This window comes from Homo sapiens, chromosome X, assembly GCF_000001405.40.
Source record: "Homo sapiens chromosome X, GRCh38.p14 Primary Assembly".
Classification (NCBI taxonomy): domain Eukaryota; kingdom Metazoa; phylum Chordata; class Mammalia; order Primates; family Hominidae; genus Homo; species Homo sapiens.
Genome location: NC_000023.11, coordinates 68,214,055 through 68,233,845, shown reverse-complemented (window position 1 = coordinate 68,233,845; position 19,791 = coordinate 68,214,055). Strand labels below are relative to the sequence as shown.

Here is a 19,791-nt window from a genome sequence, read left to right as displayed (position 1 = left end):
TATGGTGCTTTTGTTGGGAGTGGGAAATGAGAATAGAAGACTTATGTTTGGATGTGGGGAATTTCCTTTGTGGAAGAATGTTGCCCTTCCAATTTGACGTGGTCATTAAAATATAGGTAAAGTGTTTGACAGGTGAAAATGGATAAATGGACCTTTCAAACAGAGACCAATGGCCCAAGGATGGAAGGAACATAAGTAGAATTCTATTTTAGGAATCTCAAACTGGCATAGGTTGTAGGGTGAATTAGATCAGGGAGAGACTAGAAGCAGGATAAACAGTTTAGGAAACTATTGATCTAGGAAACGATCTAGGGGAAAGTGACAGAGCCGTAAGAGAGGCACTAGGGAAGGAAAAGAAGGAATAAACTGATTGAGAATTTTTCTAATGGAAGGAGGGGTCTATATGTTCAATGAAAGATTCAGTAATAATGGAGATTTTAAAGATTCAAGTATGAAAAGAGATATCTGATGGAATAATATCATAGGCAGGAGCTGTCATCTTGTCCATGGTCACACAGATTGTGGCAGAGCTGGAGCTCATCTCCTGATAACTGGTTTCATAGATATCCATCACATCATCTGAGGTGCTTGAAGGTAATAGGTCAAGAGCCTCAGTGTGGCCGAGTGCAGTGGCTCATGCCTGTAATCCCAGCATTTTGGGCGGCCAAGGCAGGTGGATCTCTTGAGGTCAAGAGTTTGCAACCAGCCTGGCCAACATGGCAAAACCCCAGCTCTACTAAAAATACAAAATTAACCGGGCATAGTGGCACATGTCTGTAATCTCAATTACTTAGGAGACTGAGGAAGAAGAATCGCTTGAACCCGGGAGGCGGAGGTTGCAGTGAGCTGAGATCACTCCATTGCACTCCAGCCTGGGTGACAAGAACGAAACTCTGTCTCAAAAAAAAAAAAAAAAGCCTTAGTTGTGGATGGAGTTAGTATTGCAAAGGAGAAGGACTACTTTCCTTCCATAAACTAGAATTGAGTCTGGGATCTTCTATCATTTTCCTTTTGCCCACTTTTGTTTTTTTCCTTTTCTATCTATTCTGTGTCGCGGTTTCTATGCAGAAAACAGTCAACAGGCCTGAGACTGCTATGCTTAGAAAGACCTGTTTACAAAATTAGCCCTTGGAATGGCATCTGGGAACTTCACTGTTAAACAGCTCCCAACATTGATTTAGAAGTTTCCCTTAATGGGTAAGAATGGCTGACTGTGCCAAGCCTGGCTCTGCAAATAATGTAGCTTATGTCGAACACCTTTTTCTTCTGGTACTCTTGAATTTTGGTTGTGCTGGGCAGAGTGTGCCTGTGTAACTAGCCCCGCAGTAAAACCCTAAGCTACTCATTCTCTTATGAGCTTCCCTGACTGATAACATTTTCTCTGTGTTGTTACAACTTGTTGAAGGAAGAATTAAATGTGTCTTGGGTGACACCACCGTGAGAGATCTTTTGGAAGCTTTTACCTAGCTTCCTCTGCATTTTGCCCCAGGCACCTTTTCTCTTTGCTCAGTCGGCTGTGTACGCTTTCACTGAAATAAATCTTAGCTGTGAGTACTACTATGTTGAGTACTTTGAGTCCTGCTCAAAAAAGATTTATTAAAGAATTATTAAAATTGGGGTGGTCTTCTGGACCCTGGACACAATCCAAACTATTGGAGACTTTTGCTAGGACACCTTCTGGAGTGTTCTAGGTGTTTGGTGCTATATCTAGATGTCCTTTTATTACTTATTCAATAAAAAAATGAGCAGGGCAATCTTGAGTTAGTCACTTTCAAAAAATTTAGATTTCATCTTTAGAGAAGTTTTAGGTTTACAGAAAATTAAATAGTAAGTACAGAGTTCTCATATGCCCTTACTCCCTCACACAGTTTCTCATTTCCTCTTTTAGGATCATCTTGCATTTGTGTGATACATTTGTTAGAATTGAGGAGCCAATGTATTAAACATTCTATGGGTTTTGAAAAACATATGATAACATATATCCAGCATTACCATATTGTACAGGACAGTTTCGCTGCCTTGAACATCCCTGGACTTTATCCCTCCCTCCTTCTACCTCTACCTCTGACACCACTGATCTTTTTATGGACTCCATACTTTTGCCTTTTCCAAAATGTCATATAGTTGGTATCATATGGTTTGTAACCTTTTTTGATTGGCTTCTTGTAGTTAGCAAGATGCATTTAAGGTTTCTCCATATCTTTTCTTGACTTGATAACTCACTTCTTTTTAGGGCTGAATAATATGCCATTGTCTGGTTGTACCACGGTTGGTTTATCCATTTGCCTATTGAAGGACTTCTTGGTTTCTTCTGAATTTTGGCAGTTATTAAAGCTGCGATAAAAAATTGTGTGCAGGCTTTTAGGGATATACATTTTGATGTTGTTTGAGTCAATACCAAATAATACAACTGCTATCATATGGTAAGATTTTATCTAGTGTCGTAAGAAACTGCCAAACTGTCTTCCAAATTGACTGTAGCAGTTTTTATTTCCATGAACAATGAATGATAGCTCCGGTTGCTCCACATCCTTGTCACTATTCTGCGTTGTACCATTAAAAGTAATGGCAGAAATCACAGTTCCTTTTGCACCAACCTAATATGTACATGGAATATCTTTCCATTTATTTTGACCTTTGATTTTTTTCATCAGTGTTTTGTAGTTCTCCTCTTAAATATCTTGTCTTTTTGTGCCTGGCTTATTTGACTTAACAAAATAACTTTCAGTTCCATCCATGTTGTTGCAAATGACGGGATCTCATTTTTTTCATTCTTTTATTTCTGATGCCACTTCTTTGTGTATTTACTCTCTTACTTATTTAATGTGGCTAAAATATTAACAATTTTATTGATTTTTTTCAAAGAACCAGCTTTTTGGTTTTGTTGATTTCCTGTTGTTAATTTCGTTGATATCTTCATCTTCTTTTTTTTATTATACTTTAAATTATAAGGTACATGTGCACAACGTGCAGGTTTGTTACATATGTAGACATGTGCCATGTTGGTGTGCTGCACCCATTAACTCATCATTTACATTAGGTCTATCTCCTAATGCTATCCCACCCCCCTCCCCCCACCCCACGTCAAGCTCCAGTGTGTGATGTTCCCCACCCTGTATCCAAGTATTCTCATTGTTCAATTCCCACCTATGAGTGAAAACATGTAGTATTTGGTTTTCTGTCCTTGCGATAGTTTGCTCAGAATGATGGTTTCCAGCTTCATCCATGTCCCTACAAAGGACATGAACTCATCATTTTTTATAGCTGCATAGTATTCCATGGTGTATGTATGCCACATTTTCTTAATCCAGTCTATCATTGATGGATATTTGGGTTGGTTCCAAATCTCTGCTATTGTGAATAGTGCCACAATAAGCATATGTGTGCATGTGTCTTTATAGCAGCATGATTTATAATCCTTTGGATATATACCCAGTAATGGGATGGCTGGGTCAAATAGTATTTCTAGTTCTAGATCCTTGAGGAATCACCACACTGCCTTCCACAATGGTTGAACTAGTTTACACTCCCACCAACAGTGTAAAAGTGTTCCTATTTCTCCACATCCTCTCCAGCACCTGTTGTTTCCTGACTTTTTAATGATTGCCATTCTAACTGGTGTGAGATGGTATCTCATTGTGGTTTTGATTTGCATTTCTCTGATGACCAGTGACGATGAGCATTTTTTCCTGTGTCTGTTGACTGCATAAATGTCTTCTTTTGAGAAGCATCTGTTCATATTCTTTGCCCACTTTTTGATGGGGTTGTTTGATTTTTTCTTGTAAATTTGTTTAAGTTCTTTGTAGATTCTGGATATTCGCCCTTTGTCAGATGGGTAGATTGTAAAAATTTTCTCTCATTCTGTAGGTTGCCTGTGCACTCTGACAGTAGTTTCTTTTGCTGTGCAGAAGCTCTTTAGTTTAATTAGATCCCATTTGTCAATTTTGGCTTTTGTTGCCATTGCTTTTGGTGTTTTAGACATGAAGTCCTTGCCCATGCCTATGTCCTGAATGGTATTGCCTAGGTTTTCTTCTAGGGTTTTTATGGTTTTAGGTCTAACATTTAAGTCTTTAATCCTTCTTGAATTAATTTTTGTATAAGGTGTAAGGAAGGGATCCAGTTTCAGCTTTCTACATATGGCTAGCCAGTTTTCCCAGCACCATTTATTAAAAAGGGAATCGTTTCCCCATTGCTTGTTTTTGTCAGGTTTCTCAAAGATCAGATGGTTGTAGATGTGTAGTATTATTTCTGAGGGATCTATTCTGTTCCATTGGTCTATATATCTGTTTTGGTACCAGTACCATGCTGTTTTGGTTACTGTAGCCTTGTAGTATAGTTTGAAATCAGGTAGCATGATGCCTCCAGCTTTGCTCTTTTGGCTTAGGATTGTCTTGGCAATGTGGGCTCTTTTTTGGTTCCATATGAACTTTAAAGTAGTTTTTTCCAACTCTGTGAAGAAAGTCATTGGTAGCTTGATGGAGATGGCATTGAATCTATAAATTACCTTGAGCAGTATGGCCATTTTCACGATATTGATTCTTCCTATCCATGTGCATGGAATGTACTTCCATTTCTTTGTGTCCTCTTTTATTTTGTTGAGCAGTGGTTTGTAGTTCTCCTTGAAGAGGTCCTTCACATCCCTTGTAAGTTGGATTGCTAGGTATTTTCTTCTCTTTGAAGCCATTGTGAATGGGAGTTCACTCATGATTTGGCTCTCTGTTTGTCTGTTATTGGTGTATAGGAATGCTTGTGACTTTTGCACATTGATTTTGTATCCTGAGACTTTGCTGAAGTTGCTTATCAGTTTAAGGAGATTTGGGGCTGAGATGATGGGGTTTTCTAAATATTCAATCATGTCATCTGCAAACAGGGACAATTTGACTTCCTCATTTCCTAATTGAATACCCTTTATTTCTTTCTCCTGCTTGATTGCCCTGGCCAGAACTTCCAACACTATGTTGAATAGGAGTGGTGAGAGAGGGCATCCCTGTCTTGTGCCAGTTTTCAAAGGGAATGCTTCCAGTTTTTGCCCATTCAGTGAGATATTGGCTGTGGGTTTGCCATAAATAGCTCTTATTATTTTGAGATACATCCTATCAATACCTAGTTTGTTTAGAGTTTTTAGCATGAATGGCTGTTGAATTTTGTCATAGGCCTTTTCTGCATCTATTGAGATAATCATGTGGTTTTTGTCTTTGGTTCTGTTTATATGCTGGATTACATTTATTGATTTGTGTATGTTGAACGAGCCTTGCAGCCCAGGGATGAAGCCAACTTGATCGTGGTGGATAAGCTTTTTGATGTGCTGCTGGATTCAGTTTGCCAGTATTTTATTGAGGATTTTTACATTGATGTTCATCAGGGATATTGGTCTAAAATTCTCTTTTTTTTTTGTTGTGTCTCTGCCAGGCTTTGGTATCAGGATGATGCTGGCTTCATAAAATGAGTTAGGGAGGATTCCCTCTTTTTCTATGGATTGGAATAGTTTCAGAAGGAATGGTACCAGCTCCTCCTTGTACCTCTGGTAGAATTTGGCTGTGAATCCATCTGGTCCTGGACTTTTTTTGGTTGGTAGGCTATTAATTATTGCCTCAATTTCAGAGCCTGTTATTAGTCTATTCAGGGATTCAACTTCTTCCTGGTTTAGTCTTGGGAGGGTTCATGTGTCCAGGAATTTATCATTTCTTCTAGATTTTCTAGTTTATTTGTGTAGAGGTGTTTATGGTATTCTCTGATGGTAGCTTATATTTCTGTGTGAAAGGTGGTGATATCCCCTTTATCATTTTTTATTGCAACTATTTGATTCTTCTCTCTTTTCTTCTTTATTAGTCTTGCTAGCAGTCTATCAATTCTGCTGATCTTTTCAAAAAACCATCTCCTGGATTCATTGATTTTTTGAAGGTTTTTTTTTGTGTCTCTTATCTCCTTCAGTTCTGCTCTGATCTTAGTTATTTCTTCCCTTCTGCTAGCTTTTGAATGTGTTTGCTCTTGCTTCTCTAGTTCTTTTAATTGTGATGTTAGGGTGTCAATTTTAGATCTTTCCTGCTTTCTCTTGTGGGCATTTAGTGCTATAAATTTCCCTCTACACACTGCTCTAACTGTGTCCCAGAGATTCTGGTATGTTTTGTCTTGTTCTCGTTGGTTTCAAAGAACATCTTTATTTTTGCCTTCATTTCGTTATATACCCAGTAGTCATTCAGGAGCAGATTGTTCAGTTTCCATGTAGTTGAGCGGTTTTGAGTGAGTTTCTTAATCCTGAGTTCTAGTTTGATTGCACTGTGGTCTGAGAGACAGTTTGTTATAATTTCTGTTCTTTTACATGTGCTGAGGACTGCTTTACTTCCAACTATATGGTCAATTTTTAATAAGTGCGATGTGGTGCTGAGAACAATGTATATTCTGTTGATTTGGGGTGGAGAGTTCTGTAGATGTCTATTAGGTCCGCTTGGTGCAGAGCTGAGTTCAGTTCCTGGATCTCCTTGTTAACTTTCTGTCTCGTTGATCTGTTTAATGTTGACAGTGGGGTGTCAAAGTCTCCCGTTATTATTTTGTGGGAGTCTAGGTCTCTTTCTCGGTCTCTAAGGACTTGCTTTATGAATCTGTGTGCTCCTGTATTGGGTGCATATATATTTAGGATAGTTAGCTCTTCTTGTTGAATTGATTCCTTTACCATTATGTAATGGCCTTCTTTGTCTCTTTTGATCTTTGTTGGTTTAAAATCTGTTTTATCAGAGCCTAGGATTGCAACCCATGCCTTTTTTTGTTTTCCATTTGCTTGGTAGATCTTCCTCCATCCCTTTATTTTGAGCCTGTGTGTGTCTCTGCACGTGAGATGGGTCTCCTGAATACAGCACACTGATGGGTCTCCTGAATACAGCACAATGATGGGACTTGACTCTTTATCCAACTTTCCAGTCTGTGTCTTTTAATTGGAGCATTTAGCCCATTTACATTTAAGGTTAATATTGTTATGTGTGAATTTGATCCTGTGATTATGATGTTCGCTGGTTATTTTGCTCGTTAGTTGATGCAGTTTCTTCCTAGCCTTGATGGTCTTTACAATTTGGCATGTCTTTGCAGTGGCTGGTACTGGTTGTTCCTTTCCATGTTTAGTGCTTCCTTTAGGAGCTCTTGTAAGGCAGGACTGGTAGTGACAGAATCTCTCAGCATTTGCTTGTCTGTAAAGTATTTTATTTCGCCTTTACTTATGAAGCTTAGTTTGGCTAGTTATGAAATTCTGGGTTGAAAATTCTTTTCATTAAGAAAGTTGAATATTGGCCCCTACTCTCTTCTGGCTTGTAGAGTTTCTGCCGAGAAATCAGCTGTTAGTCTGATGGGCTTCCCTTTGTGGGTAACCTGACCTTTCTCTCTGGCTGCCCTTAACATTTTTTCCTTCATTTCAACTTTGGTGAATCTGACAATTATGTGTCTTGGAGTTGCTCTTCTCAAGCAGTATCTTTGTGGCATTCTCTGTATTTCCTGAATGTGAATGTTGGCCTGCCTTGCTAGATTGGGGAAGTTCTCCTGGATAATATCCTGCAGAGTGTTTTCCAACTTGGTTCCATTCTCGCCGTCACTTTCAGGTACACAAATCAGGCGTAGATTTGGTCTTTTCCCATAGTCCCATATTTCTTGGAGGCTTTGCTCGTTTCTTTTTATTCTTTTTTCTCTAAACTTCTCTTCTCACTTCATTTCATTCATTTCATCTTCCATCACTGATACCGTTTCTTCCATTTGATCGAATCGGCTACTGAAGCTTGTGCATGTGTCATGTAGTTCTCATGCCTTGGTTTTCAGCTGCATCAGGTCATTTAAGGTCTTCTCTATGCTGTTTATTCTAGTTAGCCATTCGTCTTATCTTTTTTCAAGGTTTTTAGCTTCTTTGCGTTGGGTTTGAGCATCCTCCTTTAGCTTGGAGAAGTTTGTTATTACCGATCATCTGAAGCCTTCTTCTCTCAACTCATCAAAGTCATTCTCCATGCAGCTTTCTTCCATTGCTGGTGAGGAGCTACGTTCCTTTGGAGGAGAAGAGGTGCTCTGATTTTTAGAATTTTCAGCTTTTCTGCTCTGGTTTCTCCCCATCTTTGTGGTTTTATCTACCTTTGGTCTTTGATGATGGTGACGCACAGATGGGGTTTTGGTGTGGATGTCCTTTCTGTTTGTTAGTTTTCCTTCTAACAGTCAGGACCATCAGCTGCAGGTCTGTTGGAGTTTGCTAGAGGTCCACTGCAGATCCTGTTTGCCTGGGTATCACCAGCAGAGTCTGCAGAACAGCAAATATTGCAGAATGGCAAATGTTGCTGCCCGATCCGTCCTCTGGAAGCTTCATCTCAGAGGGGCACCCAGCTGTATGAGTTGTCAGTTGGCCCCTACTGGGAGGTTTCTCCCAGTTAGGCTACTCAGGGGTCAGGGACCCACTTAAGGAGGCAGTCTGTCCGTTCTCAGATCTCAAACTCCGTGCTGGGAGAACCACTACTCTCTTGAAAGCTGTGAGACAGGGACATTTAAGTCTGCAGAGGTTTCTGCTGCCTTTTGTTCAGCTATGCCCTGCCCCCAGAGGTGGAGTCTACAGAGGCAGGCAGGTCTCCTTGAGCTGTGGTGGGCTCCACCCAATTCGAGCTTCCCAGCTGCTTTGTTTACCTACTCAAGCCTCAGTAATGGCGGACGACCCTCCCCCAGCCTCGCTGCTGCCTTGCAGTTCGCTCTCAGACTGCTGTGCTTGCAGTAAGAGAGGCTCCGTGAGCTTGGGACCCTCTGCACCATGCATGGTATATAATCTCCTGGTGTGCCATTTGCTAAGACCGTTGGAAAAGCGCAGTATTAGGGTGGGAGTGTCCCGATTTTCCAGGTACTGTCTGTCACAGCTTCCCTTGGCCAGGAAAGGGAATTCCGCAACCCCTTGCGCTTCCAGGGTGAGGCGATGCCCTGCCCTGCTTCGGCTGACACTCTGTGGGCTGCACCCACTGTCCAACAAGCCGCAGTGAGATGAACTCAGTAGCTCAGTTAGAAATGCAGAAATCACCCATCTTCTGTGTCGCTCACACTGGGAGCTGTAGACTGGAGCTGTTCCTATTCAGCCATCTTGGAACCTTCAGTCGATATCTTCTTTAATGTTTATTTTTTCTTATTTTCTGCTTACTTTGGATGTGATTTATTCTTCTATTTCTAGTTTCCTAAGAAGGAAGCTTACATTATTAATAAGAGATCTTTCTTCTATTCTATTATATGCATTTCATTCTATAAATATTTCTCTAAGCACTGCTTTTGTTGCCCACAAATATTAAATTGTGTTTTCATTTTTATTTAATTCAAAATGTCTTAACATTTCTTATTTTATTTTATTTATTTTTTGTAGAATTGAGGTCTTACCATGTTGCCCAGGCGAGTTTCAAACTCCAGGTTTCAAGTGATCTTCCCGCCTTGCCCTCCTAAATTGCTGAGATTACAGGTGTTTGCCATGATGCCCAGCCTTACTTTTCTTTGCGTCTTTGACTCAGGTTTCATTTATAAATGTACTGTTTAATCTCCAATTATTTGGGGCATTTTCAGCTTTTAAAAATTGATTTCTGGTATAATTTAATTGTGGTCTAATTGTATATTTCATAAGATTTCTATTCTTTTAGATTTCTTCAGGTGTATTTTATGTCCCAGAATGTGGTCTATCTTGGTGATTTTTCTGTGTGACTTTGAGATGAAAGTGTATTCTGCTGTTGTATCAAGTGTTACAAAGATGTCAGTTAGATTCAGTTGATCAATGGTGCTGTTCAGGTCAACAATGTCCATACGGATTTTCTGCTAGCTGGATCTGTCCATTACTATTAGAGGAGTATTGAAGTCTCCAACTCTAATAGTAGGTGTGTCTCTCCTTGTAATTCTCTCAATTTTTACCTCATGTATTTTGATGCTGTGTTGTTAGGCACATTCACATTAAGAATTGTTATGTCTTCTTAGAGTCTTGCCATCTTTATTATTATATTATGATTTGATATCATAATATTTTTCCTTGGTAGTTTTCTTTGTTCTGAAGTATGCTTTTTATGAAATTAATATAGCTACTCTAGCATTCTTTTGATTAATGTTAGCATGATATATCTTTCTTTATACCTTTACTTTTAATCTGTCTTTGTTTTCTTTACATTTTAATTGTTATTTCAATAGGTTTAGGGGTATAAGTGTTTTTTGGTTACATGGATGAATTGTATAGTGGTGAAGTCTGGGCTTTTAGTGTACCTGTCACCCGAATAGTGTACATTATACCGAACAATGGGTAATTTTTCAGCCCCCTCTCACCACCCTTTTTCTGAGTCTCCAATGTCCATTATACCACTCTGCATGTCTCTGCATACTCAGAGCTTAGCTCCCACTAATAAATGGGAATGTGAGGTATTTGATTTGAGTTAGTTCACTTGGAATAATGGCCTCCAGTTCCAGTTTCTGTAAAAGACATTATTTTGTTCTGTTTCATGGCTGAGTAGTATTCCATTGTGTGTGAGTGTGTGTGTGCACACATATATACCTACTATATTTTCTTTATCCACTAATCAGTTGATGGGCACTTAGATTGATTTCCTGTCTTTGCAATTGTGAATTGTGTGAAGATAAACATAGGAGTGCAGGTGTCTTTTCTGATGTAATGACTTCTTTTCCTTTAGGTAGATTCTCAGTAGTGAGATCTTGGATCAAATAGTAGTTCTACTTTTAGTTATTTGAGAGATCTCTATACTGTTTTCCATAGAGACTGTATGAATTTACATTCCTACCCAAAGTGAATAAGCATTCCCTTTTAACCACATCTGCATCTTTTGTTTTTTGACTTTTTAATAATGGCCTTTCTGAGTGGAGTAAGGTGGTATCTCATTGTGGTTTTAATTTCCATTTTCTTTTTTTTTCTTTTTATTTATTTTTATTTATTTTTTCTATTATACTTTAAGTTTTAGGGTACATGTGCACATTGTGCAGGTTAGTTACATATGTATACATGTGCCATGGCTGGCGCTGCACCCACTAACTCATCATCTAGCATTAGGTATATCTGCCGATGCTATCCCTCCCCCCTCCCCCCACCCCACAACAGTCCCCAGAGTGTGATACTCCTCTTCCTGTGTCCATGTGATCTCATTGTTCAATTCCCACCTATGAGTGAGAATATGAGGTGTTTGCTTTTTTGTTCTTGCGATAGTTTACTGAGAATGATGATTTCCAATTTCATCCATGTCCCTACAAAGGACATGAACTCACATTTTTTATGGCTGCATACTATTCCATAGTGTATATGTGCCACATTTTCTTAATCCAGTCTATCATTGTTGGACATTTGGGTTGGTTCCAAGTCTTTGCTATTGTGAATAATGCCGCAATAAACATACGTGTGCATGTGTCTTTATAGCAGCATGATTTATAGTCCTTTGGGTATATACCCAGTAATGGGATGACTGGGTCAAATGGTATTTCTAGTTCTAGATCCCTGAGGAATCGCCACACTGACTTCCACAATGGTTGAACTAGTTTACAGTCCCACCAACAGTGTAAAAGTGTTCCTATTTCTCCACATCCCCTCCAGCACCTGTTGTTTCCTGACTTTTTAATGATTGCCATTCTAACTGGTGTGAGATGGTATCTCATTGTGGTTTTGATTTGCATTTCTCTGATGGCCAGTGATGACGAGCATTTTTTCATGTGTTTTTTGGCTGCATAAATGTCTTCTTTTGAGGAGTGTCTGTTCATGTCCTTCGCCCACTTTTTGATGGGGTTGTTTGTTTTTTTCTTGTAAATTTGTTTGAGTTCATTGTAGATTCTGGATATTAGCCCTTTGTCAGATGAGTAGGTTGCGAAAATTTTCTCCCATTTTGTAGGTTGCCTGTTTGCTCTGATGGTAGTTTCTTTTGCTGTGCAGAAGCTCTTTAGTTTAATTAGATCCCATTTGTCAATTTTGTCTTTTGTTGCCATTGCTTTTGGTGTTTTAGACATGAAGTCCTTGCCCATGCCTATGTCCTGAATGGTAATACCTAGGTTTTCTTCTAGGGTTTTTATGGTTTTAGGTCTAACGTTTAAGTCTTTAATCCATCTTCAATTGATTTTTGTATAAGGTGTAAGGAAGGGATCCAGTTTCAGCTTTCTACATATGGCTAGCCAGTTTTCCCAGCACCATTTATTAAATAGGGAATCGTTCCCCATTTCTTGTTTTTGTCAGGTTTGTCAAAGATCAGATAGTTGTAGGTATGCGGCATTATTTCTGAGGGCTCTGTTCTGTTCCATTGGTCTATCTCTCTGTTTTGGTACCAGTACCATGCTGTTTTGGTTACTGTAGCTTTGTAGTATAGTTTGAAGTCAGGTAGCGTGATGCCTCCAGCTTTGTTCTTTTGGCTTAGGATTGACTTGGCGATGCGGGCTCTTTTTTGGTTCCATATGAACTTTAAAGTAGTTTTTTCCAATTCTGTGAAGAAAGTCATTGGGAGATTGATGGGGATGGCATTGAATCTGTAAATTACCTTGGGCAGTATGGCCATTTTCATGATATTGATTCTTCCTACCCATGAGCATGGAATGTTCTTCCATTTGTTTGTATCCTCTTTTATTTCCTTGAGCAGTGGTTTGTAGTTCTCCTTGAAGAGGTCCTTCACATCCCTTGTAAGTTGGATTCCTAGGTATTTTATTCTCTTTGAAGCAATTGTGAATGGGAGTTCACTCATGATTTGGCTCTCTGTCTGTTGTTGGTGTATAAGAATGCTTGTGATTTTTGTACATTGATTTTGTATCCTGAGACTTTGCTGAAGTTGCTTATCAGCTTAAGGAGATTTTGGGCTGAAACAGTGGGGTTTTCTAGATATACAATCATGTCGTCTGCAAACAGGGACAATTTAACTTCCTCTTTTCCTAATTGAATACCCTTTATTTCCTTCTCCTGCCTAATTGCCCTGGCCAGAACTTCCAACACTATGTTGAATAGAAGTGGTGAGAGAGGGCATCCCTGTCTTGTGCCAGTTTTCAAAGGGAATGCTTCCAGTTTTTGCCCATTCAGTATGATATTGGCTGTGGGTTTGTCATAGATAGCTCTTATTATTTTGAAATACGTCCCATCAATACCTAATTTATTGAGAGTTTTTAGCATGAAGGGTTGTTGAATTTTGTCAAAGGCTTTTTCTGCCTCTATTGAGATAATCATGTGGTTTTTGTCTTTGGCTCTGTTTATATGCTGGATTACATTTATTGATTTGCATATATTGAACCAGCCTTGCATCCCAGGGATGAAGCCCACTTGATCATGGTGGATAAGCTTTTTGATGTGCTGCTGGATTCGTTTTGCCAGTATTTTATTGAGGATTTTTGCATCAATGTTCATCAAGGATATTGGTCTAAAATTCTCTTTTTTTGTTGTGTCTCTGCCAGGCTTTGGTATCAGAATGATGCTGGCCTCATGAAATGAGTTAGGGAGGATTCCCTCTTTTTCTATTGATTGGAATAGTTTCAGAAGGAATAGTACCAGTTCCTCCTTGTACCTCTGGTAGAATTCGGCTGTGAATCCATCTGGTCCTGGACTCTTTTTGGTTGCTAAGCTATTGATTATTGCCACAATTTCAGCTCCTGTTATTGGTCTATTCAGAGATTCAACTTCTTCCTGGTTTAGTCTTGGGAGAGTGTATGTGTCCAGGAATTTATCCATTTCTTCTAGATTTTCTAGTTTATTTGCGTAGAGGTGTTTGTAGTATTCTCTGATGGTAGTTTGTATTTCTGTGGGATTGGTGGTGATATCCCCTTTATCATTTTTTATTGCGTCTATTTGATTCTTCTCTCTTTTTTTCTTTATTAGTCTTGCTAGCGGTCTATCAATTTTGTTGATCCTTTCAAAAAACCAGCTCCTGGATTCATTAATTTTTTGAAGGGTTTTTTGTGTCTCTATTTCCTTCAGTTCTGCTCTGATTTTAGTTATTTCTTGCCTTCTGCTAGCTTTTGAATGTGTTTGCTCTTACTTTTCTATTTCTTTTAATTGTGATGTTAGGGTGACAATTTTGGATCTTTCCTGCTTTCTCTTGTGGGCATTTAGTGCTATAAATTTCCCTCTACACACTGCTTTGAATGCATCCCAGAGATTCTGGTATGTTGTGTCTTTGTTCTCATTGGTTTCAAAGAACATCTTTATTTCTGCCTTCATTTCGTTATGTACCCAGTAGTCATTCAGGAGCAAGTTGTTCAGTTTCCATGTAGTTGAGTGGTTTTGAGTGAGATTCGTAATCCTGAGTTCTAGTTTGATTGCACTGTGGTCTGAGAGATAGTTTGTTATAATTTCTGTTCTTTTACATTTGCTGAGGAGAGCTTTACTTCCAACTATGTGGTCAATTTTGGAATAGGTGTGGTGTGGTGCTGAGAAAAATGTATATTCTGTTGATTTGGGGTGGAGAGTTCTGTAGATGTCTATTAGGTCCGCTTGGTACAGAGCTGAGTTCAATTCCTGAGTATCCTTGTTGACTTTCTGTCTCTTTGATCTGTCTAATGTTGACAGTGGGGTGTTAAAGTCTCCCATTATTAATGTGTGGGAGTCTAAGTCTCTTTGTAGGTCACTCAGGACTTGCTTTATGAATCTTGGTGCTCCTGTATTGGGTGCATATATATTTAGGATAGTTAGCTCTTCTTGTTGAATTGATCCCTTTACCGTTATGTAATGGCCTTCTTTGTCTCTTTTGATCTTTGTTGGTTTAAAGTCTGTTTTATCAGAGACTAGGATTGCAACCCCTGCCTTTTTTTGTTTTCCATTTGCTTGGTAGATCTTCCTCCATCCTTTTATTTTGAGCCTATGTGTGTCTCTGCACGTGAGATGGGTTTCCTGAATACAGCACACTGATGGGTCTTGACTCTTTATCCAATTTGCCAGTCTGTGTCTTTTAATTGGAGCATTTAGTCCATTTACATTTAAAGTTAATATTGTTATGTGTGAATTTGATCCTGTCATTATGATGTTAGCTGGTTATTTTGCTCGTTAGTTGATGGAGTTTCTTCCTAGTCTCGATGGTCTTTACATTTTGGCATGATTTTGCAGCGGCTGGTACCGGTTGTTCCTTTCCATGTTTAGTGCTTCCTTCAGGAGCTCTTGTAAGGCAGGCCTGGTGGTGACAAAATCTCTCAGCATTTGCTTGTCTGTAAAGTATTTTATTTCTCCTTCACTTATGAAGCTTAGTTTGGCTGGATATGAAATTCTGGGTTGAGAATTCTTTTCTTTAAGAATGTTGAATATTGGCCCCCACTCTCTTCTGGCTTGTAGGGTTTCTGCCGAAAGATCCGCTGTTAGTCTGATGGGCTTCCCTTTGAGGGTAACCCGACCTTTCTCTCTGGTTGCCCTTAACATTTTTTCCTTCATTTCAACTTTGGTGAATCTGACAATTATGTGTCTTGGAGTCGCTCTTTTCAAGGAGTATCTTTGTGGCGTTCTCTGTATTTCCTGAATCTGAACGTTGGCCTGCCTTGCTAGATTGGGGAATTTCTCTTGGATAATATCCTGCAGAGTGTTTTCCAACTTGGTTCCATTCTCCCCATCCCTTTCAGGTACACCAATCAGACATAGATTTGGTCTTTTCCCATAGTCCCATATTTCTTGGAGGCTTTGCTCATTTCTTTTTATTCTTTTTTCTCTAAACTTCCCTTCTCACTTCATTTCATTCATTTCATCTTCCATCGCTGATACCCTTTCTTCCAGTTGATCGCATCGGCTCCTGAGGCTTCTGCATTCTTCACGTAGTTCTCGAGCCTTGGTTTTCAGCTCCATCAGCTCCTTTAAGCACTTCTCTGTATTGGTTATTCTAGTTATACATTCTTCTAAATTTTTTTCAAAGTTTTCAACTTCTTTGCCTTTGGTTTGAATGTCCTCCTGTAGCTCAGAGTAATTTGATCATCTGAAGCCTTCTTCTCTCAGCTCGTCAAAGTCATTCTCCATCCAGCTTTGTTCCGTTGCTGGTGAGGAACTGTGTTCCTTTGGAGGAGGAGAGGCGCTCTGCTTTTTAGAGTTTCCGGTTTTTCTGTTCTGTTTTTTCCCCATCTTTGTGGTTTTATCTACTTTTGGTGTTTGATGATGGTGATGTACAGATGGGTTTTTGGTGTGGATGTCCTTTCTGTTTGTTAGTTTTCCTTCTAACAGAGAGGACCCTCAGCTGCAGGTCTGTTGGAGTACCCTGCCGTGTGAGGTGTCAGTATGTCCCTGCTGGGGGGTGCCTCCCAGTTAGGCTGCTTGGGGGTCAGGGGTCAGGGACCCACTTGAGGAGGCAGTCTGCCCGTTCTCAGATCTCCAGCTGCATGCTGGGAGAACCACTGCCCTCTTCAAAGCTGTCAGACAGGGACATTTAAGTCTGCAGAGGTTACTGCTGTCTTTTTGTTTGTCTGTGCCCTGCCCCCAGAGATGAAGCCTACAGAGGCAGGCAGGCCTCCTTGAGCTGTGGTGGGCTCCACCCAGTTCGAGCTTCCTGGCTGCTTTGTTTACCTATGCAAGCCTGGGCAATGGCGGGCGCCCCTCCCCCAGCCTCGCTGCCGCCTTGCAGTTTGATCTCAGACTGCTGTGCTAGCAATCAGCGAGACTGCGTGGGCGTAGGATCCTCCGAGCCAGGTGCGGGATATAATCTCGTGGTGCTCCGTTTTTTAAGCCCGTCGGAAAAGCGCAGTATTCGGGTGGGAGTGACCCGATTTTCCAGGTGCCATCCGTCACCCCTTTCTTTGACTCAGAAAGGGAACTCGCTGACCCCTTGCGCTTCCCAAGTGAGGCAATGTCTCGCCCTGCTTCGGCTCGCGCACGGTGCGCGCACCCACTGACCTCCGCCCAATGTCTGGCACTCCCTAGTGAGATGAACCCGGTATGTCAGATGGAAATGCAGAAGTCACCCGTCTTCTGCGTCGCTCACGCTGGGAGCTGTAGACCGGAGCTGTTCCTATTCGGCCATCTTGGCTCCTCCCCAATTTCTATTTTCTTGATGATTAGTGATGTTGAGCATTTTTTCATGTTATTGGCCATTTGTGCATCTTCTTTTGAAAAATGTCTGTTCATGTCGTTTGCCCACTTTTAAATGGGATTTTTTTTTCTTGCTGATTTGTTGGAGTTCCTTGTAGATTCTGGACACTAGCCCTTTGTCAGCTGTACAGTTTGTGAATATTTTCTCCCATTCTGTAAGTTGCCTATTTACTCTGTTGATTATTTATCTTGTTGTGCAGAAAGATTTTAGTTTAATTAAGTCTCATTTATTTATTTTTGTTTCTGTTGCATTTGCTTTAGGTGTCTTAGTAATTTTTTTTTATTAGGCCAATTCCTAGAAGCATTTTTCTGTGTTTTAGTCTAGAAGTTTTATGGTTTCAGGTCTAACATTTTTGTGTATCTTATTTAAAATGATATCTTTTAGGTAACATAGTTGGCTCTTAATTTTTGTGCACTATGACAGTCTATCTTTTAATTTTTTTAGATCACTGACGTTTAAAAGGGTCATAGATAATGGTGTAATAGTATCTACTATATTGTTTACCATCTTCTACTTATTGTTTTTGTTTTTATTTTTGTCTTTCAGTCTTCTTTTGACTTCTCTTTTTTAAGAGAATATTTTATATGATCTTATTTTCTGTCTTCTCTTACCATGTAAATTATACTTCTTCTTTTTCATTTTTTAATGGTTGCCTTAGAGCTTGCAATATGCATTTGTGGTTAGTTTATGTCCACTTTTCAAATTCCAGTAACGTAGTTATGGGTTGTACAGGATCAACAGACTATTTCCAATTTCTCCATTTAGTCCCTTATAATGGTACTATCATTCTTTTTACTTATTTGTAAGATACAATCACCAAATGTATCATTACAATTATTATTATAGACAAATTCTTATCTGTTAGGTCCATTAAGAATTTGAAAAATAAAATATTTAATCTTCATTTATTTCTTTTCTAGTGCTCTTTTTTTCTTTCTTTTTAGGTCTATATTTCCGACATATCATTTTTCTTCTACTGGAGATCTTTTGTCCTTTCTTGCAAGACAAGTTTAGTGGTGACAAAGTGCTTTAATTTTTGTTTGTTTGAGGAAGTCTTTATTTTACCATCACTTTTGAAGGATAATTTCACAGTTTACACATTGTTAAGTAGTTAACTTTTTTTCTTTCAACACCTTCAAATATTTTATAGCACTCTTTTCTTTCTGCATGGTTTCTTAAGAGAAGTCTGATATAACTCTTTATCCTTGCCCTGCTGTATAGTAAGTTGTTTGTTTTTCTCTCTAGCTTCTTTCAAGATTTTCTCTTGTATTTTATTTTCTGCAGCTTTGAATATCATATACCTACATGGGGATTGTTTGGTATTTATCCTGATTGGTATTTATTAGTATTTATTATATTATTGTATTTATTGGTATTTATCCTGAGCTTTCTGGATGTGGGTTTGATACCTGTCTTTTATTTTGGAAAATTCTCAGTCATTATTGCTTGAAGTATTTCTTCTGTTTCTGTCTCTTTTTCTTCTCCTATTGGTACTCTGAAAATACGTATATTAACATCTTTTGTAATTGTTCACCAGTTCCTGAATATTCTACTCCATGTTTGTCATTCTTTTTTTCTCTTTGCATTTCAGTTTCCCACATTTTTTTTGACATGTATTTAAGCTTACTGGTTCTTTCCTCACTCTTGTTCAATCTACTGGTGAACCCTTTAAAAGTAGTCTTCATTTCTGCTACAGTGTTTTTGATTTCTAGTGTTTTCTCTGTATACTCTCTTGCAGTTTTCATCTGCCTGCTACTATTACCCATCTGTTCTTAGGTGCTGTCTGTTTTTTATATTAGAGCCCTTATCATATTAATTATAATTATTTTAAATTTAGTTTTATGTTTCTTTTTTGTTTGTTTCTGAGATGGAGTCTCGCTCTGTCACCCAGGCTGGAGTGCAGTGGCACGATCTCGGCTCACTGCAGTCTTCACCTCCCAGGTTCAAGTGAGCCTCGTGCCTCAGCTTCTGGAGTAGCTGGGACTACAGGAGTACAGCACCACACTTGGCTAGTTTTTGTATTTTTAGTAGAGATAGGGTTTCTCCATGTTGGCCAAGCTGGTCTTGAACTCCTGACCTCAGGTGATCTACCCACCTCGGCCTCCCAAAGTGCTGGGATTACAGGTGTGAGCTACCGCACTTGGCCTACAGTCTTATATTTCTACAATGTCTGCCTTACCTACATTTGATTCTGATGCTCCTTTTTTCTCTTCAGACTGTGTTTATTGCCTTTTAATATGCCTTGTAGTTCATTGTTGAAAGCTAGCGGTGATGTTCAGATGAAAGGAACTGAGTGAAACAGGTCTTTAATGTGAGGTTTTGTGTTGAACTGGCTAGGAGCTAGGCTGTGCTTAGTTTGCTGTAGCTGTCATTGTCTGACTCTAAAATTTTCTCTGGCATCATTGTTTATGTGCTCAGATTTTACCATTTCTTGTTAAATAAGACTTGAGACTTGCAGTTCTTTCTGTTGTAATCCCCTCAGTATTGGCCATAGTAGCATGCTTCTGTTCTTGGGCTTTGGCCCTTGTTAATTTCTTATTCTCTGTATTCATGTCTCTGTAGTGTTTGAGGGAGCAGATTTTCCTCTGACTTCAGTTCTCTGTTGAATATAATAAAATGTGTGGATTTTACACTTGTTCAGCTTTTTTCTTTTTGTCAGGGTGGATGTAATGACTTCAAGCTTTTTATGTGTTGGACCAGAAACTGGAATCCTGTATCAGTCACTTTTTTATCTCTTGGCTTTAGGTTCTCTATTTCTAAAATAAAAGGTAACATCACTAGTTGGTGGCTAAATGCTCATCTAGCT

The 19,791-nt window shown here is 39.3% G+C and overlaps 1 protein-coding gene across 7 annotated transcripts in view; it reads left to right on the top strand.

Annotated features, from left to right (window-relative positions):
* OPHN1 (oligophrenin 1) overlaps nt 1–19,791 on the top strand; it is a 391,498-nt gene that overhangs the window by 199,996 nt on the left and 171,711 nt on the right. The gene's annotated exons all lie outside the window — the stretch shown is intronic.